Source organism: Homo sapiens, chromosome 1 (assembly GCF_000001405.40).
Source record: "Homo sapiens chromosome 1, GRCh38.p14 Primary Assembly".
Lineage (NCBI taxonomy): Eukaryota > Metazoa > Chordata > Mammalia > Primates > Hominidae > Homo > Homo sapiens.
Window position 1 is genome coordinate 28,076,077 of NC_000001.11, and position 27,427 is coordinate 28,103,503.

A 27,427-nucleotide genomic window follows, 5' to 3' on the forward strand; every position below is an offset into this window, starting at 1 on the left:
AGCACAAATCACATTTCTGTAACCAGAAAAACTGCAACCACCTACACCTCCCTGATGGGACTTTCTGTAGACAGATAAAAACCATCACCATACTGGTCAATACCTTCCATAAATAAATAGTGCAGCCAACTGACTGCAGTAAATTTGGTGAATTCTTCTGGCTACTTTGTTCTGGAGGCATGACTAACATATCATAGTATTATCAGCTGTAGGACTATTTATAGTAACTTTACACTTAACAAAACACTGTCAGAACTTACTGAGAAAGTTGCTTTTTAAAATATATACATATATTTAGGCTCTAACAAATTCTTAATAGAAAAAAATACTAGTTTACCAGAAATAGAATCTCGGCCAGGCGTGGTGGCTCACACCTGTAATCCCAGCACTTTGGTAGGCCGAGGTGGGTGGATTACTTGAGGTCAGGAGTTCAAGACCAGCCTGGCCCACATGGTAAAACTCTGTCTCTACTAAAAATACAAAAATTAGCTGTGTGTGGTGGCACATGCCTGTAGTCCCAGGTGGAGGTTGCAGTGAGCTGAGATCGCACCACTGCACTCCAGCCTGGGTGACACAACAAGACTCTGCCTAAAAAAAAAAAAAAAAGAAAGAAAGAAAAGAAAAAAAATGTCTCTCTAAGAATAATTGCTTTTATAATTTCTTTTTTTTTTTTTTTTTTTTGAGACAGAGTTTCGCTCTCATTGCCCAGGCTGGAGTGCGATGGCGTGATCTCGGCTCACCTCAACCTCCGCCTCCAGGGTTTAAGTGATTATCCTGCCTCAGCCTCCTGAGTAGCTGGGATTACAGGCATGCGCCACCACGCCTGGCTAATTTTGTATATTTTTAATAGAGACGGGGTTCTCCATGTTGGTCAGGCTGGTCTCGAACTTCTGACCTCAGGTGATCCACCCGCCTCAGCCTCCCAAAGTGCTGGGATTACAGGTGCAAGCCACCACGCCCGGTCTGTTTTTATAATTTCTAATATTACTTAACAAAAATCATCCTTTGAAATTGTTTACAAAACAATCTTTTTTTTTTTTTTTTTTTGAGACAGTCTTATTCTGTCACCCAGGCTGGAGTACAGTGGCGCAATCTCGGCTCACTGCAACCTCCGCCTCCTGGATTCAAGCGATTCTCCTGCCTCAGCCTCCTGAGTAGCTGGGATTACAGGTGTGCATGACCATACCCAGCTAAGTTTTTTGTATTTTCAGTAGAGACGGGGTTTCACCAGGTTGGCCAGGCTGGCCTCGAACTCCTGACCTCAGGTGATCCGCCTGCCTCAGCTTCCCAAAGTGCTGGGATTATAGGCATGAGCCACCGTGCTTCCCCAACAAGTTCCTAATGAAACAGGAAGATGTGTTCCAAAGGAAAAATTTCAAAACCATAGTAAAAAGTATTAAGAAGGAGGAGGTTAACCTGAATTAGCTATGTCAAAGTGAGCTTAATAACAGTACAATGGTTCTTCTATATTTCTTCCAACACTCCTTGGATCTCTCTCCAATTTTAGTAACTTGTCAGCATAAGAATTTCTCTGTTTGTAGTGGGTGTTAACAAGTGACATGAAAAAAAAACAAGAAATCAAAAAGAATAAGAATATGATAAAAGAAATTTTTTAAAAAATCTGTTTGAAGATCCAGACTCAAAGACTCTAAAACTTTATCTTCATCCTTCTTTAATCTGTGCAGTTAAAATTTCTGAGAATCACAACATGAATATTCTATAAATGTGCTGCTTCCAGTTATACAAAGTTGTACCCTATGTCATCAATTCTCTAACATTCTACATACCTATATATCTCATCTATACATCAGTCCTATATATCAGCTTATCAGTGTTTGGATAACACTGACTATACACTATACTAACAGAACTAAGTCTTTTGAAATCTATGTCTTTAGCTGTTAGAAGAACTGTAAAATCTAGGTTCAGTTTTTTTATTAATGTTTTATTTCTCCAAATTTATTTACCCCTTCAAAACTCCATCAGACAGGATAATATAAGTGTTTGTTAAAGAAAAATAAAATAAATAAATATCTTACACCAAAGATAAAAAGGAAAGAAATCTGGTCTTGAATGAAAGTCAATTCACTAACTAGCTCCACTTAAGTTTTCCCAAATAGCAAACCATTAAAACTATTAAGATTACGGCCCAAATAACAAGTGGTTCCTAAGAGAGATTTTAAAAGTTGGGCCTGTAGCCTTGATAACCTTTAGCTTTAAATCCAACACGCTACACAAGAACTTTCCCTACAGGTCCTCAAGACAAGATATTTTCAAGCTCCTGAGCAATATAACATTAAATGTCAATCATGCCCTGTTACTCAGCAAATATACAGAACTCATCATAGTCACAAACACTCTCAGGAGCTCCAACTGTGAGTTGATACTATTAATAGCAAACATTTATGGAATGCTTCTTATGGGTCAGGTACCGTTCTAAGTACTTTTAATATATTAACTATTTCTTTTTCTTCTTCTTTTCTTTAATTGAGACAGTCTCGCTCTGTTACCCAGGCTGAAGCGCAGTGGCATGATCTCAGCTCACTGCAACCTCCACCTCCCAGGTTTAGCAATTTTTATGCCTCAGCCTCCTGAGTAGCTGGGATTATAGGCATGCACCACCATGCCCAGGTAATACATTAATTATTTTAATCTTTCAATAAGTCTATAAAATAGAAGCTATTTGTTATTATCACCATTTTACAGATGAGAAAACTAAGGCACAGAGAGTAACTTCCCCAATGCTATACACATAGTAAGTCACCAACCTGGTATTCGAGCCCAGGCAGGCTAGCTTCAAAGCCTGAGTTCTCAAACCACAGCTATGTGTCTCATAATGGAACAATGCAGACAGGACTGGTGATATTTAAAAGCTGACTGAGCTTAAAATGTATGATATGCCATACTATAGTCATCAACAGCCAGAATTCTTAAGCCAAGTAATGAGAACATACGAGAAGATGGCAAGTCTTCTTCTTTATCCTTTACCATTCTCATTTTTTTTCCCCAGGCCTCCCAAGTATGAGTATGAGTTAACACAAGTGAAGTGCTTTAAATAGTGCCTGGCACATAGTAAGTGCTCACTAAGTGTTAAGAGCAGGTAGTGGTATAAAAATAGTAGAGTATGTCTGCTGACCCTGTTTCACTCTACCAGCTAGGATAGGCAAGGAACTGTTGATATTTCTACGCCCTTTCCCCCTTTGTGATTACAGGAAACGAATTGGGACAATACATAAATGTAATCCACTGTCGCAAACCCTAATTACTCTTCAGTCATGTTATTTCACCTGACCATATACACATGAGCAAACTGCTTCATTCCTCAGTCCTCTTTTTTTGGTTTACAAAGACTGGACTTGGGCCAGAAGAGAGCAGAATAAAGCAGCTTTGTAACCTTTTGACTAGTTGCCAAGAACAGAAGCAAGGTTTGTGAAAACCAACTGAAAGGACCTAAACTTTGGACTGTTAGATGGAAACTAGCAAAGGATTCTAACGATAGAAGCTCAGCATACAACCGAGCATTTTCAACCTCACGATTCCAAAATAAGTTTTTAAAATAATGTGCCTAGAAATGGTAAAGAACAGGGATGACAGTAATGGTAATCAGGGCAACAGGACCTCCCTCTCTCAATGATTGTTCTGCAGCTATTTAGGTTAAGTTTTACAGAATCCATCCACGTACATTGCAGAGAAAAAAACTAGCAAACCTAAACATTTTCTTTTTTTTTTTTTTGGTAGAGACAGGGTCTCGCTATGTTGCCCAGGCTAGTCTTGAACTCCTGGGCTTAAGTGATCCTCCTACTTCAGCCTCCCAAAGTGCTGGGATTACAGGCATGAGCCACCACACCTGGCCCCAAACCTAAACATTTTCCATTACAAAAAGACAATATTAGGGGAAAGATCTAGCAGTCACTAAAATTTTGCAAACTGCAGGTACATTGCATTAACTACGGAAACTAAAGAAAAAATTCAATTTCACCTAAAAGCTAATCATTCTAATGTATTCCCGTAGTAACGGCACTGATATCAACTTAGTGAATGGAAACCAGCAGTTTGTTTTAAATTAAAAACAATAAAACAAATAGAGGCCAGGCACAGTGGCTCACACCTATAATTCCAGCACTTTGGGAGGCTGAGGCAGGAGGATCACTTGAGCCCAGGAGTTCAAGACCAGCCTGGGCAATACAGTGAAACCGCATCTATAAAACACAAAACAAACAAACAAAAAAAATTAGTGAGGCATGGTGGCACACACCTGTAGTCTCAGCTGCTTGGGAGGCTGAGGCAGGAGGATCACCTGAGCCCAGGAGGTCGAGGCTGCAGTGAGCCGTGATAGCGTCACTACGCTTCAGCCCAGGTGATACAGGGTGAGATCCTGTCTCAAAAAACAAACAAACAAACAAAATAGAATAGAAAATATTAATATTACAATGCATCACCAGTAGTAAAGATACTGTTTCAAGAAACTTCTGTTTCGATTTCAAATATTAATATGTACATATATGTGTCTGAGTACTGGATAGCAATGTAAAATGTATTTTATAGTGGGTCATGATCAGAAAAGTTTAAAAGCCACTTTATCAGAAAAAAAAAAAAAATGGCCAGTCAAAAAGGGAAGAAAATAACCACTTCATACTACAGAGGAAACAACATTCAGAGTTTGATGGTTCTCTTTTTTGTTTGTTTGTTTTGAGACGGAGTTTCGCTCTTGTTGCCCAGGCTGGAGTGCAATAGCGTGGTCTCGGCTCACTGCAACCTCCGCCTCCTGGGTTTAAGCGATTCTCCTGCCTCAGCCTCCCAAGTAGCTGGGATTATAGGCGCCTGCCACCATGCCTGGCTAATTTTGTATTTTTTTTTTTGGTAGAGACGGGGTTTCACCATGTTGGCTAGGCTGGTCTTGAACTCCTGCCTCTCAGGTGATCCTCCCGCCTCGGCCTCCCAAAGTGCTGGGATTACAGGCATGAGCCACTGCGCCCGGCCGATGGTTCTCTAAATTGTAGTTTTATATAAGCAAGCCTCTGAAAGAGAACAAAAAAGATAAAGGAAACCACTGAGTTACTTCCAAAAATTTTTTTTTGCACAGAATGTGAGGTACCTACAGTAAATAAATACATACTAACAAAAAATACATAGAAATGAAAGCAAAAATTTTCAGTTTATCTACCTATTAAATGCCCCACTAAATATGAGAGATGGCCTATTCTCTTTGTGAAGCTCTAGTTCTCACTCTCAAGAATATTATTCATTAGTGTTGCCTAACTACTGCTTCCTAACCTATAGCAGAAGAACACCTGGTGAAAAGCAAAAGCAGATTTCAAAAATTATTCTTTAAATTATCACAGATGTTTCCTAAATTTGACATTTTTAAATTTAAAAGAGAAAAATTCAGTGATGTAATAAAACACTGATTTTTATAAGATATTTAGGTACTATTTTTTATCCTATAATGTTCTCTAAAGTCTGAAATATTCCCCCAAAATTCATACATGTATATATTGGATTATTCTTTTGGTAAAGAGAGTGAGATTATCACATTCATTTCATCAATCTACTAGGAAAAAATTAACATCATTGTGCTAAATTAAATGTTCCTCTTATTTTGAAAAGGGGGAGGGGCACAACAGGTGAAGCTGACCTAAATCGTTTTCAGTCACTATGGAAACTAAAGAAAAAATTCAATTTCACCTAAAAGCTAATCATTCTAATGTATTCCCGTAGTAACGGTGCTGATAGCAACTACCTACCAATTTTCCTAAATTCAGTAATTGCTACAATATTAAATTTCAGGTGAAAGAAAACTATTGAAATGTTTAAATACACTGATTATCAGACCCACATTGCTTTGAATGTGGAAGCCATTAAATTAAATTAAATTGCAGAAGCAATTTAAAAGGGAATTGCTTTGAATCAAAAATTAAATGTTTAACTAAAAGTAAAGAACATTCTAAATATCAACAAGTATTATCATCATAGCAAAGCTTACTCTGTTCAGCTCCATAACAATACTTTCCCACCAAGTGGAAAAAGGACAAAAGCTACTATAAAAAAACAGTATACTTAATGTCTCAATTAATAAGAGTTAACATGAGAATTAAAATTAGTATTCCTAATCAAATGTCACTTCTTACCAGAAATATTTATACTTTTTCTGTAAACCAGATTCTACGATTCTCGACTGTTTTCAAAATATTCAGAAAAATAATATCATTATCTGAGTACAAGACTCCTGCATTAAGGTGCACCTCAACTTATATAAAATAATCTCCTTCCCCCAGATATTTGATTAAATTTTTTTATTTGGGCTTAATAAAGGAACAAAAGAATCATCTTAATATGATCAATAATATTCTAAATGACTATTATTTGCATCTTCTCATTTAGAAAGTAATTTGTTTGTGAAAGTTCCCCTCATCTTTTCTAAAGTAAAAATAAAATCACTAATTTAAATATACTACTCTAAACATGATAGCCCTAAAGAGATGAATGTACTCTAAACATGATAGTCCTGAAGAGATGAATGTCCTTAATTTCACATAAATTTCCAAATTTGGAAATGAGACCAGTGGCAAATCAGATGTTTCAGTTTTAGTCTTCTGTTTTATATTTCAAAGTTGTTAAATTCATATGGGAATGGTAAGATTTAAGTATTTTAAGACTATTACATAAATTTGTTTAATACTCTGAAGGTAAAAGAAAAAAATTAACTTCGAGGGGCCATTTTATAAAAAATAGTGACTTATCTCCAAGTAACTCCAAAGTAATTAACTTCCATAAGATAATTTTTCTAACGGGGGAGGAATTTGATCCCTTATTGCTTTCTTAATATATGGTTTTGCCATCTGAGAAACATCGGTAGTAAAAGGTTTGCAATTTGCCTTAAGCCAGCATTAGTAAAAAGGCCAAGTAAAACCCTCCTTAAGGTTCCTAACCAAAAGCAGTATTCTTTTGTGTTTCAGACAAACTAGATTTTTAACCTCAACCTATAAAGAAAGAAATCACTAAAGTAGCAGACCCTTGTACAAATAAGATTAACTCAGGAGCCAAAAAGACTAAGTTCAAATCCAGCTCTTTGATAACTAGTTGTGTTACTTTGGGCAAGTTACATAACTTCTGTACCTCAGTTTCCTTATATGTAAAATGGAGATAGTAAGAAGAGTACCCTTGGCTGGGCACGGTGGCTCACGCCTGTAATCTCAGCACTTTGGGAGGCTGAGGCAGGCAGATCACGAGGTCAGGAGTTCAAGACCAGCCTGACCAACATGGTGAAACCCCATCTCTACTAAAAATACAAAAATTAGCCGGGCTTGGTGGCACACGCCTGTAATCCCAGCTACTCAGGAGGCTGAGGCAGGAGAATCACTTGAGCCCAGGAGGCAGAGGTTGCAGTGACCAGAGATTGTGCCACTGCACTCTAGCCTGGGCGACAGGGCAAGACTCCGTCTCAAAAAAAAAAAAGAATAGTACCCTTATTTCATAGGGTTGTAAAGATTAAAGAGTTAATACATGTAAACTACTTAAAATAGTTCCTGGTACATAGTAAGTGCTGTATAAAGTTCACTTTTATTTTTACTGTTTTACCACTACAGAGTTTCATGGTTCAGTTGTGAAAGTTTCCCAAGTGAAAATTATTTGATTGTATCTATAACGAAAGAACATGATTTTATGTTAATTAAGTTTATTTAATTCTAATTATGTTGTCTTACGTTTAATTCAGAAATGTACAAATAAGATCAAATTCAGAATTTAAGTGTACATATCAGCCTGGTACAATATTACCTAGCCACATAAATAGCCTAAATATGTATTACTGTAACTGTACACAGTAGGTGCCTAAACAATATTTGCTGAAATAAATGTATTACAAAGAGTATTGCTAATTATTTTCTAGGGAAGAAAATGAAAACCATCTAACTGCTACAAACATTAACCACAGCTAATAAGTTAAAGTGCATCCAAAACAATCTGTAGTAAGATCTTCACGATATTAAGCACTGACTGCCTTGGGCTGATCTGTTAACTTATTTACAGTAAGTTGGCACTATTTAAACTACACATTCCTTTTCTGATTCAAAATACTATTGCATACTTAAATGGGAAAACAGCAAAGACAAATTTTAGGAAGCCCATATTTTAAATGGCTGTTTTTAAATATACTACTATAAAGAACAGAGAAAATGCCTAAATTACTTCTACATTTAATAATTAGCTACCCTGGAACTTAGGTTGATGGAACTAAATAAAAATATCAAGGATGATATGTTCCATTATTTGCTATGTTATCTGACAGTAAAAGATACCAGTATCAACAGGGTAGTTTAGAGCTTAAGCCATACACTTTGTAAAAGAATATGCACTTGTATTTTTAAGTTAATTAGAAAACAGAAAGTCCACCTATTTTCCACCTTACTATCAATATAACAATTCAACCTTTTGGTATAAACCAATTAGATGAACATCTGGGAAGCATTGACTATTCCAAAATATATATATATATATATATATATATATATATATATATATTTTTTTTTTTTTTTTTTTTTTTTTTTTTTTTGAGATGAGTCTCGCTCTGTCGCCTAGGGTGGAGTGCAGTAGCACGATCTCAGCTCACTGCAACCTCCGCCTCCCTGGTTCAAGCAATTCTCCTGCCTCAGTCTCCCGAGTAGCTGGGACTACAGGCATACGCCGCCACGCCCAGCTAATTTTTTGTATTTTAGTAGAGATGGGGTTTCACCGTGTTGCCCAGGCTGTTCTCCAACTCCTGAACTCAGGCAATCTGCCTGCCTTGGCCTCCCAAAGTGCTGACTATTCCTAATATTTTAAAATACACATTTCTATTTTGAACTATTCTTCCTCCATTTAAATCATACATGAGCTAAAGTATCCTGTTGTTACATGCAGAACAGAAATATCTTTTGGACAAACCGCTACCTAAAAAGAAGTTCCATGAGGCTTTTATTTATAATCAAAACAAAATAAATGAAGTCATGAAACAGCTTAGGCACAGCACAGAAACCATAATGCTACAAGGTACAAGTGACAAGGACTTGTTGGAGGTATACTTTGTTTCTTAAATTTTCAAAACTACATCAGCCGCCTGTGGGTGGTGGCTCACACCTTTAATCTCAGCACTTTGAGAGCCCGAGGCAGGCAGATTGCTTGAGTCCAGGAGTTTGAGATCAGCCTGGGCAACATGGTGAAACTCTGCCTCTCCAAAAAAATTTCAAAATTAGCCAGGTATGGTGGCATGAACCTGTAGTCCCAGCTATTCTGGAGGCTGTGGGAGGATGACTTCAGCCCAGGAGGTCAGGGCTGCAGTGAGCCGAGATCGTGCCACTGCACTACAGCCTGGCCAACAGAGCAAGGTTTTGTTTTGTTTTTTGTCTCAAAAAAACAAACAAACAAACAAAAAACTACATCTCCGTAAACACAGGATTCAAGGACCAAAAAACAAACAAACAAAACAAGTAAGACAAAGTACATTAGCAAATAAAATGACAAAAAAGAACCAAAAATAATCAAACCAAACCAAAATAAGAAAACTTGGTAAGCCTAAAACTAATATGCAGAAACATATTTTAAATTGAGCCCTTAGGGCTACCAACTAAAGTAGAAATTTTTGTAGAAAATCAACGGTAATTTTTTTTCCTGAGCTTTAAAAACAAACACACATTAAGCTGTCTCTGGGTTTGTTTGTTTGTTTGTTTGTTTGTTTTGGTTTGGCAGCTAGGTGGAGGGTCAGGCTTGAAGATCAGCAGCATGGAACACAACTGCTCCAATGACTACACAGGATGCTCATTTCATTTAATGGCTTCAATGCAGAATATACAGGCCAAAGTCATTTTAGAAGAACAAAAGACTCCTAAAACTTTTCAACTTCTACTTCTGCACAAAACAGTTTCTTTCTCTAGTCACTCTTTGAAGGCAAAATGACTTCGGCTTTGGATTTTAAAATCCATGTCACAGATTTCTTATCCTAATAGTCTCATTCATATATGACATATACTGAAATGACCCACTAAATACTATATTGTGCTTTCCAGCCTACAGCTTTAATGGAATTAACACTCGCTACTCTTGAGAGCATGTATAGGACTTCTTGACTTAAAAAAAAATGACCTTGGAAATTAACTGTTTAAGTTGTAATTTCTTTTTTTTTTTTAAGAGAGTCTCACTCTGTTGCCTTGTGGAGCGCAGTGATGTGATCACAGCTCACTGTAACCTCAAAATCTTGGGCTCAAGCAATCCTCCAACCTCAACCTCCTGAGTAGTTGGGACTACAGGCGCACACCACTACACCAAGCTAATTTTGTCTATGTTGCCCAGGTTGGTCTCGAACTCCTGGCCAATCCTCTGGCCTTGGCCTTCCAAAGTGCTGGGGATTATAGGTGTGAACCACCATGCCAGACCTAAACCCTAATTTCTTTATGTTTTGTAAATAAGAGTGCCACTTCTTACTAGTGACAATGGTATATAATCTTTATAACTAGATTTTATTATTTTCTATTGTTTTGAAGACAGAGTGATTTCCCATCATTTTTGGGGTTTAATGTTCTTATCTTAATCTGCATTAATTAAGCTGGCATTCCCATGGCTTAAATGAAGCCCACAAACCTGAAGGTAAGGAAGCAGCTGGAGTAAGCCATACACATTGGGGTTTGTTTTGAAGGATGGAAAATAGGCCAGGTTGGACAGAAGCTAGAGCTAGGTAGTGGGGAGGAGGTACACATAAGAAACTTTCAAAGAGGCTTCACTTAGCAGTTAGATAAGTCCTGAAAGCCAATCAGAAGGGTCCTTCTCCGTGGCTTCTAGGACTAACATGGCCAAGCTCCAAAGTCCTTTGCTAAAAACAGCTGAAGAGAGCCCAATTTTGGAATAAGCCAAGGACTATACACTCTTATATGTATATGTATCATATAATGAAGATTTTTCTATAGCTAATTAGCCAAAAGATAAGCAGGTGCTCAAAGCTGTATTTAAGTTCATACTGAAGTACTACATTTTAAAGCACAATTTATAGATTACAGAAACTGATGACACAAAAACCGCTGCAATCAAGTGCTAGATATACACTATAAACATCGGGAAAAAATAAAGATTACCCAAGCCTATACTCTAGATCACAAAATTTGGGAAAGGGAGCACTAACCATTATTAAATGCAATTCCTTCATGTTATAAATGACTTTAAACCTCTAGGGAAATTTAAGAAAGGTGCCCTAAATCTCAAAATGAGAAAATGATAGTTTTACTACAAAGGTGGAAATGGTAAGGAAAAAAAAATACAAAAGTTAGAAGAATATTCTAAGTAATGTACTTCTAAGTAATGTAATTCTAAGTAAAGTCTGGCTAATGAAGGAAGAGGAAGACAAATAGAAAACTTAATACAGTAAAAATGAAAAAATGCATATGTGCATACTAAGTTTAAAGATTACTTTGAAATTACTATAGTGAACTCTTCAGCAGACCACTTTTCGGAAACAACACAATAAATTCATAAATCTGGGGCTAATGATCTCTCCACAAATTCTGTCCTCTATCATCACAAGTGTCCTGTAAGAAGCGTCCATGCCGAAAACAGAGCTGAACGTCCCAAAATATTGGCGTTTTTGCCTCAGCTGTGCACATCCATTCTCATGGGAACACAAAACTGACAGAACTTCTTCATGACTTGTCAATTAACAAGATCGCGCCAGCCCAACTGCTAGCAGTACCGTGTGCCTGCCACCTGTTAGCTGCTCTTGAGAGAGCCCCAAAACTGAGGTAAAGCGAAGAACTAGGAACGCCTTTGTTGTACCCTAACTATGGAAGCTACCAGAGTTCAGTCTAACCCGGCGCCTTAAGGCAAAACTTCCCCCAGGCTGGGGAAGTCTTCCCATTTCGGGGCTTTGGCAAAGCTCTCCTCTAGCTAAGGACAGGCAGAAGAACCCCAGGAGAAGCACTGTCACCTACTGGTCCCAGGAGGAAGGATCAAAGCTGAAGAAAGTTGGGGGACAAGGAACTAGGACCCTAGGGAGAGGCTCAGTTTCTCGTGGTGAAGAGTGAGCACAATGAGAAGCTGGGCCGTCTCGCTAGGTGAAAGAACGCTGAGATCCCAGATCAGGGGTAGGGGAAAAGAGGTTCTAAAAGAAGGGAGGAGGAGAAAAAAGGAGAGGCAGTGGCTGAGAGAAGCGCTGAGGCGTAAGGCAAGAAACCGAGGTTGGAAAAGGACTGATGAGGCTGAGGAAAAACAGCGAGGCGACAGAGGCACGGAAGCGCGAGAAGGCTAAGCTGAGGTGAATAAGGCGAGGCCAGCGTGAAGGAAAGGGCTGAGGTGAGTGAAGCACTGCAGTGACAAGGGACAGGCGAAGAGACTCCCACCCACAAGGACCGAGGCAGAACTCTAGACCCATCCCCCTTCACGCTGTGCTCGCCCGGCTGCGCTCAGACCCTGTTGGCAGCTGAGACTCACCCAAAGGCTGTAAAAGCCCCACAACAGGACATGGAGATCAGTCCAGACCCACAGTAGAACCAATCGAGCGGAGGAAACCGCGGCGTTAGCGTGACCCGGATGCGCATCGCTAGGAACCGGAAGTAAGCGGCCAGAGTCACCTCACAATCCACACCTCGTTCCACTAGAAACCTCTGGGCGCATGTGTTGAGTCTGACCGGGCGGGGAAGCTTTTAGGCTCCGCCCACTCCGCCGGCCCGGCGAGCCACGCCCATGGCCACGCCCCTCTTAGTGCCTCGGAGACAAGCAGCTTCTGGGTGAGCGCTAGGCAGTCCTGACGGTACTACAGCCTTCACTTTTAAGGAGGTCTTTAAAAATGCGCGTAATCCCTACCTGGCTAAAAGGAACGTAAGAAGTGTTGGGTGCATTTGGTAGATTTAGAAAAACTGGGAAGGAGAATGAGTGGGAAGTTTTGGAAGACATTTGGGAGGCTAGCCCAAGGTGATCTTTTTTTTTTTTTTTTTTTGAGACGGAGTTTCGCTCTTGTTGCCCAGGCTGGAGTGCAATGGCGCGATCTCGGCTCACTGCAACCTCCGCCTCCCGGGTTCAAGCGATCCTCCTGCCTCAGCCTTTCGAGTAGCTGGGATTACAGGCATGTGCCACCACGCCCGGCTAATTTTGTAGTTTTAGTAGAGACGGGGTTTCTCCATGTTGGTCAGGCTGGTCTTGAACTCCCGACCTCAGGTGATCCGCCCGCCTGGGCCTCCCAAAGTGCTGAGATTACAGGCGTGAGCCACCGCGCCCATCCCTTTTTTTTTTTCTTTTTTTGAGACAGAGTCTTGCTCTGTCGCCCAGGCTGGAGTGCAGTGGCGCGATCTCGGCTCACTGCAACCCCCGCCTCCTGGGTTCAAGTGATCCTCCCACCTCAGCCTCCCGAGTAGCTAAGACTACCGGCGCGCACCACCACGCCCGGCTAATTTTTGTATTTTTCGGTAGAGACGGGGTTTCGCCATGTTGCCCAGGCTGGTCTCCAACTCTGGAGCTCGGTTGATCCCTTGGCCTCCCAAAGTGCTGGGATTACAGGCGTGAGCCCCAAGGTGATCTTTTTATCCCCAAATTTAGTTTATTCTTAATATTATATTAGGCTTACAATTCACTTCGTGCACACTGTTTTCGGAAGCAAAATTCTTAAATGTTTCGTTAATTTTAAATTACAACCCAAGTATGGGCTAGAAGCAAGGTTGAATTCAGGCTTTGTGGAGACTTGACGTTTATTCAATTTGGGGGCCCTCTTTAAAATAATCAAGGCCAGGCACAGTGGCTCATGCCTGAAATCCTAGCACTTTGGGACGCCGAGGTCGACCGGTTGCTTGAGCCCCGGAGTTGGAGATCACCTGGGCAACAAAATTAGACCCTGTCTCTACAAAACAAACAAAGCAAAACAACAACAAAAAAAACCCAGAAAAATTAGCCAGGTGTGGTGGCACGCACCTAACTGAGCCCAGGAGGTAGAGGCTGCGGTGAGTTATGATTATGCCACTGCACTCCAGCCTGGGCAACAGAGCGAGACTGTCTAAAAAAAAAAAAAATCCAAAATTACAAATACAATATTAGATATAAAAGTGAACCTTTTATAATGAGAAAAATTACAAACATTTTTATTAGCTCACAAATACCACGAATAACAAAATCCAGAAAAAAAACTATTTTTTCTACATTTTTTGACTGTATATTTGATCACCTCTTCCGATGACAACAATGTACTAAGCAACATCATTTACTAAGATCCTTAACTCCTCTCTCATATCCCACATGTACTCCATCAGCAAGTTCTGCAAGATTTGCCTTCAAAATCTGTCCAGAACCTGACCATTTACTGCCTCCGTTGGTATAAACCAGTCAGTCAGTGACTGTGAGTGCCCTATTTATACTCTTGCCTTCCCACAATCTTTTTTTTTTTTTTTTTTTCAGACAGAGCCTCCCTCTGTCACCCAGGCTGGAGTGTACTGGCCTGATCTTGGCTCAGTGCAACCTCTGCCTCCTGGGTTCTCCTGCCTCAGCCTCCTGAATAGCTGGGATTACAGGGGCCCGCCAGCACGCGCGGCTAATTGTTATATTTTTAGTAGAGACGGGGTTTTGCCATGTTGGCCAGACTGGTCTTGAACTCCTGGCCTCAAGTGATCCACCCGCCTCAGCCTCCCAAAGTGCTGGGATTACAGGTGTGAGCCTCCACGCCCGGCCCCCACAATCTATTAATATAGTAGCAATGGGCTCCTGTTAAAACCCTAATTAGATCATATCCTTCCTCCAATGCATTCCTATTTCAGAGTAAAAACCAAAATCCTTACATTGGTCTACAGGACCCTCAAGATTTGACACCTCCAGTACAGCTCTGCTCTAACCTCAACTCCTACTCCTTCTGTCATCCTTCCCCTTAAAGCACATTGGCCTCTGCCATTCCTCAAAACTACAGGTAGGCCCAGGGCCTTTGTGCTTTTTAATCCATCTGCCTGGAGTGCTCTTCCCCCAGATACCTGCATCATTCATCCGCTCACCTCATTTACATCTTTATTCACATGTCACTTTCTCAATGAGATCTTCCCTGACACTACATTAAAAATTGGAACACTACCATCCTCTTTGTACTTTCCCATCCAACAAGTTGCTTGTAAATTTGGCTTAGTGTCTCTCTCCCCCTGCCAGAATGTAAGTTCCATGAGTCCATGGATGTTTGTCCGATTTGTTCACGGATGTTTTTTCAGCACCAGAATGGAGCCTGGCACACTGTAGGCACTCAGTAAATGTTTGTTGAATGAAGGGCTAAATTGCTCATTTACTTTGGTTTTCCTGATCTGAAACCCTGCAAACTGAGCCACCACCTCCACCAGAGGGAGCCCATGAGTAATCAATGCAATAGCTCCAGAAAAGTTATGCCTAAAGCATTTACATACATATACACTCTGTTTAAGGACAGGAATATGTTCTGAGAAATCCCTCGTTAGGTAGTTTCATCATTGTGCGAACATCGTAAAATGGACTTATACACACCTAAGCTATATGGTATAACCTATTGCTCCTAGGCTATAAATCTGTATAGCATATGACTGTACTGAATACTGTAGGCAATTGTAACACAATGGCAAGTATTTGTGTATTTAAACATATAAAAACATAGAAAAGGTACAGTAAAAATATTAAATAATCTTATGGGACCACCATCATATATGCATTCTATCATTTACCAAAATATCATTATGTGACAGCTATGATTCTAAAACAGAGCTACAAGAAAGCATGCAAATTCCTCCCCAGAGCAGAAGCTGTACCTTGCTGGTGCTCTAGTGTCTTTACAGTCATTTAAGAATAAAATCCAGGCTGGGCGTGGTGGCTCACGCCTATAATCCCAGCACTTTGGGAGGCCGAGGCAGGTGGATCATGATGTCAAGAGATCGAGACCATCCTGGCCAACATGGTGAAACCCCGTCTCTACTAAAAATACAAAAATTAGCTGGGCATGGTGGCATGTGCCTGTAATCCCAGCTTCTCGAGAGGCTGAGGCAAGAGAATTGCTTGAACCAGGACCTGGGAGACGGAGGTTGCAGTGAGCTGAGATCGTGCCACTGCACTCCAGCCTGAGCTACAGAGTGAGACTCTGTCTCAAAAATAATAATAATAATAATAATAATAATAATAATAAAATCCAAAGGCCGGGCACGGTGGCTCCCATCTGTAATCCTAGCACTTTGGGAGGCCGAGGCAGGCAGATCACCTGAGGTCAGGAGTTCAAGATCAGCCTGGCCAATATGGTGAAACCTCATCTCTACAAAACATACAAAAATTAGCCAGGTGTGGTGGCAGGCACCTGTAGTCCCAGCTACTTAGCAGGCTGAGGCATGAGAATCACAGGAGGCAGAGCGTGCAGTAAGCCGAGATGGCACCACTGCACTCCAGCCTGGGTGACAGAGTGAGAGACTCCATCTCGAAAAATAAACAAATATATAAAATAAAATAAAATAATAAAAATAAGACCTCTAATTTATATATTTCCATTTTGAAAAGACATGATGAATGTATGATCAGTGTTTTATAATAGCTATTAATTTAAACCCTCCTGATTGACATATATGAAGTACAATGGTCTGGATTTTATTTCTGTTGATGTTCTATATTGTACTTGAGGCAATTTCTTATGATATACATGATCGTTGACCTTCTAAAAGCAATCAGTAGTTGGTAGGATTGTAAAATGGTGCAACCTTATGGAAAGCCATATGGTGGTTCCTGAAAAAAATTGAAAATAGAACTAACGTATGATCCAGGAATCCCCTTCTGGGTATATATCCCTAAGAATTGAAAGCAGGATCTCCAAGAGATATTTGCACACCCATGTTCATGACAGCACTATTCACAATAGCTAAGAGATGGAAGCAACCCAAATGTTCATTGATGGATGAATGTATAAACAAATTTGGTATACATACAATGGAATACTATGCAACCTTAAAAAGGCAGGAAATTCTGTCTGGGTGCAGTGGCTCATGCCTGTAATCCCAGCACTTTGGGATGCTGAGGCGGGTGGATCACGAGGTCAAGAGATCGAGACCATCCTGGCCAACATGGTGAAACCTTGTTTCTATTAAAAATACAAAAATTAGCTGGGCATGGTGGTGTGCGCCTGTAGTCCCAGCTACTCAGGAGGCTGAGGTAGGAGAATCGATTGAACCCAGGAGGCGGAGGTTGCAGTGAGCTGGGATCACACCATTGCACTCCAGCCTGGTGACAGAGCAAGACTCCACCAAAAAAAAAAAGAGCATGTACACATGCTACAACATGAATAAATCTTGAGGACATTATGCTAAATGAAATAAGCCACTCACAAAAGGACAAATACCATATGATTCCACTGATATGAGTTATATAAATTAGTCAAATTCATAGATATGGAAAGTAGAATGGTGGATATAAAGGGTTGGGGAGAAAGGACAAAAGGGAGTTTCTTTAATGAGTATAGAGTTTCAGTTCTCCAAGATGAAAAGGTTGAGATCTGTTTCATAGAAAGCAAATATACTTAACACTACTAAACTGTATAATTAAAAATGGTTAAGTTGGTAAATTTTATGATATGTGTTTTTACCACAAATAAATAGATTAATAATGTTTAAAATCTGTAGGAATCTAGTCATCACTGTAAAAAAGACATGGGTCACTTTTGCCTACTTGACCCTGCATGGAGATTACTAAAGTCTTTTTCACAGTTTTGTTCAAACTTTCACCAGCAAAACGCCTTTGGAATAGAATAAATTCAAATTTGTAAGATATTTAGTAACCATTGCTACCTTCAGAGCAAAGCATTTCCAGTTTCCTGAGTATAGTATCTTTACCTACAGGCATCTTTTCCATATCATCATTACTACTGTTCATATTTTTCCAGCAAATCAATATCATTTAGCAACATCCAAGATCTCTTGCTTGCTTTATAGAGAATGTGTCTTGAACAAAACTTGAGTGTTTTAGGAACACCTTACGGAATGCATGCTATAAAACCGTAACCATGTGCCAGGTGCAGTGGCTCACGCCTATAATCCCAACACTTTGGGAGGCCAAAGCGGGTGGATCACTGGAGACTGGGAGTTTGAGACCAGCCTGGGCAACATAGTGAGACCCCCTGTCTCTACTAAAAATACAAAAATTAGCTGGGCATGGTGGCATGCGCCTGTAATCCCAGCTACTCAGGAGGCTGAAACACAAGAATCGCTTGAACCCAGGAGGCGGAGGTTGCAGTGAGCCGAGAATGCACCACTGCACTCCAGCCTGGGTGATGGAGCCAGACTGTCCAAACAAACAAACAAAAAACCTGTAACCATGGAGTAAAACTATAACTGTGGAAATCGACATGAGACGTAAATAGGACATTTTCTCCATCCTTACCACAGTCAGCTTTGTATTCACCAAGACCACACTAAGCATGCACTCTGGTGATCTGTAAATACATAACGAACTATCCCAAAACTCAGTGGCTTAAAACAACAACCACTATATTATATCTCACACTTTTTGAGTCAGGAATTTGGGCAGGGCTCAGCTGGGTGATTTCTCTGTTCCATACTGTATCAACCAGTCAGTTGATGGCATTCTAGCTTGCAGCCAGGTTAGTCTGGAGGGTCCAACACATATGCCTGACACTGAAAGGCTGGGTTCAGCTCGCCCCAATGCATGTAGTCTCAGAGCCTTTCCACGTGGTCTATTAGGGTAGCTGAACTTTTCACATGGCAGCTCACGGATCCATAAAGACAGGTTGTGGAAGCTGCCATTCTTTTAAGTCCAGCCTGGAAAGAGGCACAGCATCACTTCCATTTTAGTCTATTGGTCAAAGCAGTCATAGAAATCTCCTAGATTCAAGGGAGGCAACATAGACTCCACTTTGTAATATGAAGAATGTCAAATAATTTGCAGCCAAGTTTAATTCACTACAGTGTAGTAATTTGCAGCCAAGTTTAATTCACTACAGTGTAGTTTATTTACACTCTGTATCTGACTTTTTTTTTTTCACATCTTCCTTCCTTTTATTGAAAAAAATTTTAGAAAATGGCAGTTAATAAAAGGCACAAACAAATCAACAGGGATATACTAGTGGGAAACACAATATAAAACTAAAATGCCATTGGCTTCTTTAATTGGTTAAAAGCACAAAATGTAACAGGCAGAAAGTCTGTTTCAAACAAATTAAAAAGCTATGTGTTTTTTAAATTCTTCCCAAATCAGATATATACACACCCACAAAAATAGTGTGTGAAGGAAAGCTGTCATACACAAGAAGTTGTATCCTGAATTCTTCAAGGAAACACATATTGAAATAGGAATTAAGAGTCAGCAACAGATTAATAATTTTTTAAAATTGAGTCTTAAAATGCTACATGGCCCAAAGCTATACTATATAAAGTACTGCTAGGTACAAAAGAAAAAGTCTGTACAGCTTTTAGCAAAACTGCTTTCCCAGAAAAGCAAATTAAAATAATGCAATCAGCAGATCAAGGAGACTACAGCTAGACATCAGAGCTACAACTTCTCATATCTGTGTCAGAAAATCCTATTTATCCAGAATAGACTAAAATTTCAGGACAAAACAGGGACTTTTTAACATTTCTTACTTTACCCATTTTAAGTTCTTTTTATCTCCCCCACCCCCCAAGCCACTAATTCAGCAAGATCCAGGAGAAAGAGGGCTACTTTTAGAATTGGCTACTTTATTTTTCTTTCTATGGCAAGACTGTCATGGAGCCTGGATATTTCAGGCTCATATGCATCCATGACCAGTGTCCCACTGTGGTCAAAAAACTTAGCAATGGACTTTGTGAACTCGGCTTCCCGCTGCTGCTTTGTTCTCCCACTGATGAAGGTCAGCTTCAAGGTGTATTTGTCATCAAACCCTTTAAGACTGGAGGACAGCTGCCAAATATCATCAGGATCCATTCCTGTAGGATCTTTCCTGTGGGCCACGAGAAAGATGCTCTTCTCCTTATATGAGGTATAAATGGTCAGAATCCCCATCATCACAAAATAGGATATGACACACAAAGCCAAAACGGGTTTGGACTCTGGAAAGGGGTGCATATAATCCCAAATCAAAGCCACTATGGCAAAGAAACAGGAGATTGTACAGATGGTGAGGCGACCATCAATTAGACCAAAATTCTCCACATATTTGTATTTTTCCAGAAGTACCTTTTTGGCAGAATCATCCAAAGAGTTTTTCACAGCTGATCCATCCCACTTGTCAATTTTTACAGGCTTATCATCTATCTTCCACTTATCCAACAAGCCGCTACGGCCACTCCCTGTCCCGCAGTTGGAAGCACCACCAGCCCCACTACAGCCTCCGCTACCACCGCTTCTCTCGCCCTGTACAGCTGCCGCCGCCATCTTGTCCGCCTCTGCGTCTCCCTCCGTATCTGACTTTTTTTTTTTACCTCCCCAAAACTATTGTTCGAGTAACTGTTATCTGTCTGATGTTCATGATAAGAGCTCCTGCGGAAAAGTTCATCTTGATTTGTATCTACCTGTTTACTCAGCAACTACTTTGTAAAATTCCAGACTCTGAGGACATGGTAAAAAAACAAATCAGCTGCGTGTAGTGGCTCACACCTGTACACAACACTTTGGGAGGCTGAGGCAGAGGGATTGCTTGAGGCCAGGAATTCATGATCAGCCTGATCAACATACTGACACAAAAAAGAAGAAAAAAAAAAAAAGCAACTCCACAAAAAAGAAGAAGAAAAAAAAAAAGCCAGGCATGGTGGCACATGCCTGTAGTCTCAGCTACTCAGGAAGCTGAGGTGGAAGAATTGCTTGACCCCAGGAGTTCAAGTCTGCAGTGACCTATGATTGCGTCACTACAGTCCAGCCTGGGTGACAGAGTGAGACCGTGTCTCAAAAATGAAACAAAACAAAAACACCATAAATCAGGCTAAACTCCCTGCCCTCATGGAGCTCACATTCTAATCAACCCGTAGACAGAAATGTGTGTTGAATGTGTTCAACTGGGACTTAACACTCTTTCCTACTTCATTCTAGTGAACCTTCCCATACTGCAGAGGTGGAAGTTTATAAATGGCATTTCACAGGCTTCCATCCACGTAGGATTCTGGGTGAGAACTAGATATGGTCCATTAGATATACTTAGGTAAGATTTGTAAGGTAGAAATGAGGAAGAAGCCATTTTCCTGCAGTTGGCTGTTTCTGTTGGCCAATATGATCATTGCCGGAGACATGGGGTTTTTCTGAGGCAGAATATCAGTTTGTTTTGTTTTGTTTTGTTTTGTTTTGAGAAGGAGTTTCACTCTTGTGTCCCAGGCTGGAGTGTAATGACACGATCTCAGCTCACTGCAACCTCCACCTCCCAGGTTTAAGTGATTCTCCTGCCTCAGCCTCTCAAGTAACTGGGATTACAGGCACCTGCCACCACACCCGGCTAATTTTTATATTTTTAGTAGAGATGGGGTTTCACCATGTTGGCCAGGCTGGTCTCAAACTCCTGACCTCAAGTGATCCACCCACCTCAGCCTCCCAAAGTGCTGGGATTCCAGGTGTGAGCCACCAAACCCAGCCCAGAATTTCAGTTTCTAGTCTCTCTGAGTCTTGAAAGGTAGTAGCAGCAATAGGCCGGGTGCAGTGTCTCACAACTGGAATCCGAGCACTTTGGGTGGATCTCTTGAGGCCAGGAGTTCAACACCAGCCTGGGCAACATGGCAAAACCCTGTATCTGCTAAAAATACAAAAATTAGCCAGGCGTGGTGGCAAGCGCCTGTAATCCTAATTACCCGGATGGCTGAGGCACAAGAATCACTTGAACCTGGGAGGTGGAGGTTGCAGTGAGCCAAGATAGCGCCACGGCACTCCGGCCTGGATAACAGAGTGAGACTCTGTCTTCAAAAAAAAAAAAAAAGAAAAAAATGAATGAATGAAAGTTACTAGCAGCAATGATGGCTTGCAAAAACAGTACTTACCCAGTCTTCTTCTTCTTCTCCTTCTCCTTCTCCTTCTTCTTCTTCTTTCTTTTTTTTTTTTTTGACAGTCCCACTCTGTTTCCCAGGCTAGAGTGCAGTGGTGCAATCTCGGTTCACTGCAACCTCCACCTCCCAGGTTCAAGCGATTCTCCTGCCTCAGCCTCCTGAGTACCTGGGACTACAGGCATGCACCACCATGCCCTGCTAATTTTTGTATTTTTAGTAGAGATGGGGTTTCACCATCTTGGCCAGGCTGGTCTTGAACTCCTGACCTCATGTGATCCGCCCGCCTCGGCCTCCCAAAGTGCTAGGTGGCGCCCAGCCTACTATATATTATTTAGACCAGTAGTTCTCAAAGTATGGTCTGGGGACCTCCTGGAGACCTCCAAGACAGTAACAGGGAGTAAGTGAAATCAAAACTACTTTAAAAATGACACTAACTCATTATTTGCCTTTTTCACTCTCATTCTTTCAAAAGTGTGGTGGAATTTTCCAGGGGCTATGTGCTAATTCATTGCTAATGGCTAATGGAATGTGTGCTGGTATATTCTTGCATTTTCAAAATTCCTCAATTTTAATCTCTAAAGGAGAAAATATAAATAGCTGTAATCATATAAACAAAAGCTCTTTGGGGTCACCAGTAATTTTTTTTTTTTTTTTTTTTTTTGAGACGGAGTCTCCTTCTGTTGCCCAGGCTGGAGTGCAATGGTGCGATCTCAGCTCACTGCAACCTCTGCCTCCTGGGTTCAAGCAATTCTCATGCCTCAGCCTCCTGAGTAGCTGGGATTACAGGCACATGCCACCGCATCCAGCTAATTTTTTGTTTATTGTTTTTTGGTTTTTTTTAGTAGAGATGGGGTTTCACCGTATTGGCCAGGCTGGTCTCAAACTCATGACCTCAGGTGATCCACCCACCTCGGCCTCCCAAAGTGCTGGGATTACAGGCGTGAGCCACCACATCCAGCCATCAGGGTCACAAGTAATTTTTAACAGCATTAAGGGATCCTGATATCAAAACATTTGAGAACTGCTGACCTAAGTCATTGTGTATATTCATTCTTGTACTATTTGCAGTGGCTCCACTTTGGCCATTTCTGGATGCCTGATTCCCACACACGGCTATACCCATGCCATGTTCAACACCCTCCTACCAGGATGCCTTTCTATTTTGATTAAAACACTTGAGACAGTATCTTCTTGCACATGACCAGTAACAGCTGTTTTGGCACAGCCTTGGGACTCCACATAACTGTGAATTGTCCTCATGGCCAACACAAGACCCACAGACCAGCCCTTTGCCCTGCTGGTGCTGGATTATCTTTTCTGGCTGACTCATCTGGGATACCTGGTTTCTGCCCCTGCCTTTGCCCTGTTGAGCACTAGACTGACCCACTCTTGCCTCCCGTTCCTACTCTTGGTTCCCCTCCTGTTCAGGTGGCCGCTGCTGTGCGGAGCAGTTGTCAGCTGCCCATAACTAAGCTGAGTTAGTTGGGTTAGCAGGGGCCTGTATCCCTGTCCAATTCCAGAGTGAGCTGTGTCAAACTTAGGTTGCCTGGAAGTTTCCTGCCAACCAGATGATGGATTCATATTTGCTTTTAATCATGGCTATACTGGCCGGGTGCCATGGCTAATGCCTGTAATCCCAGCACTTTGGGAGGCCAAGGTGGGTGGATCACTTGAGGTCAGGAGTTTGAGACCAGCCTGGCCAACATGGTGAAACCCTGTCTCTACTAAAATTACAAAACCTAGCCAGGCATTGTGGCACACGCCTGTAGTCCCAGCTACTCTACTTGGGAGGCTGAGGCAAAAGAATCACTTGAACCCAGGAGGCGGAGGTTGCAGTGAGCAGGATCGTGCCACTGCACTCCAGCCTGGGCAACAGAGCGAGACTCCATCTCAAAAAAAAAAAATTATGGTTATACCTTCCCCCAAGAATGCCATTATCTGTGTATTTGTACTCTATAATTAGATTTAAAGTTAAAACATAAACTGTTGGCCAGGCATGGTGGTTCACACCTGTTATCCCAGCACTTTGGGAGGCTGAGGTGGGTGAATCACCTGAGGTCAGGAGTTCAAGACCCACCTGGCCAACATGGTGAAACCCAATCTCTACTAAAAATACAAAAACCAACCAGCCATGGTGGCGCATGCCTGTAATCTCAGCTACTCAGGAGGCTGAGGCAGGTGAATTGCTTGAACCCAGGAAGCAGAGGTTGCAGTGAGCCAAGATCACACCATTGCACTCCAACCTGGGCAACACAGCAAGGCTCTGTCTCAAAAAAACAAAAAACAAGAACAACAACAACCAAAAAAAAACTGTTAATAATAGATGTTTCTTGTGGATAGAAGGGACCATGTCATATATTCTGTCAACTTCACTTTTTTTTTTCTTTCTTTCTTTTTCTTCCCCCATAGTAAGAATGTATAGACTTTCAAGGGCTCTGGAAACAGATTGTGTTTGAATCCTGACTCTCCCACTTACAGTTGTGCGCACTTGGACAGGTCAAGTATTGCTCAGTGCCTCAGTTTTCAGTATTTCTTTCTTTTTTTTTTTTTTTTTTTGAGACTGAGTTTCACTCTTGTTGCCCAGGCTGGAGTGCAATGGCATGATCTTGGCTCACCGCTCACCGCAACCTCCGCCTCCCGGGTTCAAGCAATTCTCCTGTCTCAGCCTCCCGAGTAGCTGGGATTACAGGCATGTGGCACCACACCCAGCTAATTTTGTATTTTTAGAAGGGACGGGGTTTCCCATGTTGGTCAGGCTGGTCTCGGACTCCCAACCTCAGGTGATCTGCCCGCCTCGGCCTCCCAAAGTGCTGGGATTATAGGCATGAGCCACAGTGCCCGGCCAGTGCCTCAGTTTTCATACATGTAAAATGGAGATTTAAAACAGCACTGGCTGTGTGCAGTGGCTCACGCCTGTAATCCCAACACTTTGGGAGGCCAAGGCAAGTGGATTACATAAGGTGTGTTGGCTAGACCAGCCTGGCCAACACAGTGAAACCCCGTCTCTACTAAAAATACAAAAATTAGCTGGGTGTGGTGGTACATGCCTGTAATCCCACCTACTCGGGAGGCTGAGGCAGAAGAATCTCTTGAACCCAGGAGGCAGAGGTTGCAGTGAACTGAGATCGCTCCACTGCACTCCAGCCTAGGCGACAGAGCAAAACTCTGCTCAAAAATAAATGAATAAAAATAAAATTTCAAATAAAATTTAAATGCACCAAAAAAAGAAAAGCCTTTATCTCATAGAGTTAAATAACAAATACATGTAAAGTGTTTAGAATTATGACAGATACATACATATGTAAGTGATTAAAAATCAGAAAACAATGGACTTATAAAAGCTGCTATGGGCCGGACATGGTGGCTCATGTCTGTAATCCAACTCTTTGGGAGGCCAAGATGGGTGGATTTCTTGAGGCCAGGAGTTCAAGACCAGCCTGGCCAACATGGTGAAATCCTGTCTCTACTAAAAATACAAAAATTAGCTGGGCTTGGTGACAGGTGCCTGTAATCCTAGACTGAGGCAGGAGAATCGCTTGAACCTAGAAGGCAGAGGTTGCAGTGAGCCGAGATCGTTCCATTGCCCTCCAGCCTGGGCGACAAGAGCGAAACTCCGTCTCAACAATAACTACAACAAAAAATCTATACTATGAAGCTTTCATGAGTATAGAGATGTAGAAAAAAATTATAATAAACCTCAAAGTCCTGATCTTTATCAAGAAACTTGAGATGCTATTCACCTAAGTGCTTTAGAGAATGCCAAGCACTAAATTATCCAGCCTGCTTTGTTTAGAAAGACAAGGCTGAGGGTAAGGCCGGGCACGGTGGCTCATGCCTGTAATCCCAGCACTTTGGGAGGCCGAGGCGGGCAGATCACGAGGTCAGGAGATCGAGACCATCCTGGCTAACACGGTGAAACCCCGTCTCTACTAAAAATACAAAAAATTAGCCGGGCGTGGTGGCAGGCGCCTGTAGTCCCAGCTACTCGGGAGGCCGAGGCAGGAGAATGGTGTGAACCCGGGAGGTGGAGCTTGCAGTAAGCCGAGATCGCGCCACTGGACTCCAGTCTGGGCAACAGAGCAAGACTCCTTCTCAAAAAAAAAATAAAAAGACAAGGCCGAGGGTTAGTGAATTTCTACATAAGAGTTACCATAAAATTTAAGATACATCTAAAAGAATTCTGAACTATGTCATCATAAAAATAGACTAAGTCTTTTAATTAAAAAGACAAAGAGCTTTTCTATACTATTGAAATGCTTGTTTTAATAATCCCAGGGAGTATTTACTTGTAATCCTGAGGCTATTAATTTTTATTACAGCAAACTACATTTTTAAAAGAATGTTTAGTATAGGAAATGGTGGTTATTCATTCAAAGCTATAAACTATGTTTGTTTTGGAAGGTTAATTTTACTGCAACCTGGTGATAAATTAACCCACTCACTATGAGCTCACTAATCTAAATCTAATTAGCTTGGCCAGCGTAAAAGTCTAGACAGATTTTCTTAAATTTGGGAATACATCTAAATGCATTCCTTCATGTTAAAAAAAAAGTTTAAAAAGTTATAAGAAAATAAATATAAGACTCAAATAAATTAACTTTAAAGAGCAATGCAGGCCGGGTGCAGTGGCTCACACCTGTAATCCCAGCACTTTGGGAGGCCAAGGCAGGTGGATCACTTGAGGTCAGGCATTCAAGACTAGCCTGGCCAACACGGTGAAACCCCATCTCTATTAAAATACAAAAATTAGCTGGGCGTGGTGGCGCATGCCTGTAGTCCCAGCTACTTGGGAGGCTGAGGCAGGAGAATGGCTTGAACCTGGGAGGTGGAGGTTGCAGTGAGCCAAGATCACACCATTGCGCTCCAGCCTGGGCAGCAGATGGAGACTCTGTCTCAAAAAAAAAAAAAAAAAAGCAATGCAGAGAATGAAAGTCTGATACATGCTACAACACGGCTGAAACTTGAAAACATTCATTATGCTAAATGAAATAAGCCAAATACAAAGGGACATATATTACATGATTCCACTTACACGAGGTACCTAAAATAGGCAAATTCATAGATACAGACGGTACAATAAAGGTTCCCAGAAGCTAGAGGTAGGGAGTAATGGAGGGTTATTGTTTAGTGGTACAGAGTTTTAGTTCGTGATGATAAAAAAAAGTTCCAGAAATTGGCCGGGCGTGGTGGCTCACATCTGTAATCCCAACATTTTGGGAGGCCGAGGCAGACAGATCACGAAGTCAAGAGACTGAGACCATCCTAGCCAATATGATGAAACCCTGTCTCTACTAAAAATACAAAAATTAGCTGTGTGGTGGCGCGTGCCTGTAGTCCCAGCTACTCAGGAGGCTGAGGCAGGAGAATCGCTTGAACCCGGGAGGTGGAGGTTGCAGTGAGCCGAGATCACACCACTGCACTCCAGCCTGGCGACAGAGCAAGACTCCATCTCAAAAAAAAAAAAAAAAAGTTCCAGAAATTGATAGTGGTGA

At 41.3% G+C, this 27,427-nt stretch overlaps 1 protein-coding gene and 1 pseudogene across 16 annotated transcripts in view, besides 2 other annotated features; both read right to left on the reverse strand.

Annotated features, from left to right (window-relative positions):
- EYA3 (EYA transcriptional coactivator and phosphatase 3) overlaps positions 1 to 12,534 on the reverse strand; it is a 118,267-nt gene extending 105,733 nt beyond the window's left edge. For 11 of the 16 annotated variants that reach the window (NR_104214.2, XR_007096080.1, NM_001282562.2 and 8 more), the window contains exon 1: positions 12,448 to 12,534. The gene's annotated coding sequence lies outside the window, so the exon portion shown is untranslated. Of the gene's footprint in view, positions 1 to 4,255; positions 4,376 to 12,447 lie in introns of all 16 variants that reach the window. The other 5 variants (XM_047449420.1, XM_047449416.1, XM_047449417.1 and 2 more) reach the window with 1 other exon arrangement.
- Positions 12,134 to 12,193: an enhancer, noted in NCBI's record as "active region_580". NCBI's record gives its function as "activates an Ori minimal core promoter by ATAC-STARR-seq in GM12878 lymphoblastoid cells {active_cell/tissue: GM12878}" and the evidence as "EXISTENCE:reporter gene assay evidence [ECO:0000049][PMID:35858748]".
- Positions 12,404 to 12,473: an enhancer, noted in NCBI's record as "active region_581". NCBI's record gives its function as "activates an Ori minimal core promoter by ATAC-STARR-seq in GM12878 lymphoblastoid cells {active_cell/tissue: GM12878}" and the evidence as "EXISTENCE:reporter gene assay evidence [ECO:0000049][PMID:35858748]".
- On the reverse strand, positions 18,959 to 20,366 carry SPCS2P4 (signal peptidase complex subunit 2 pseudogene 4; annotated as a pseudogene).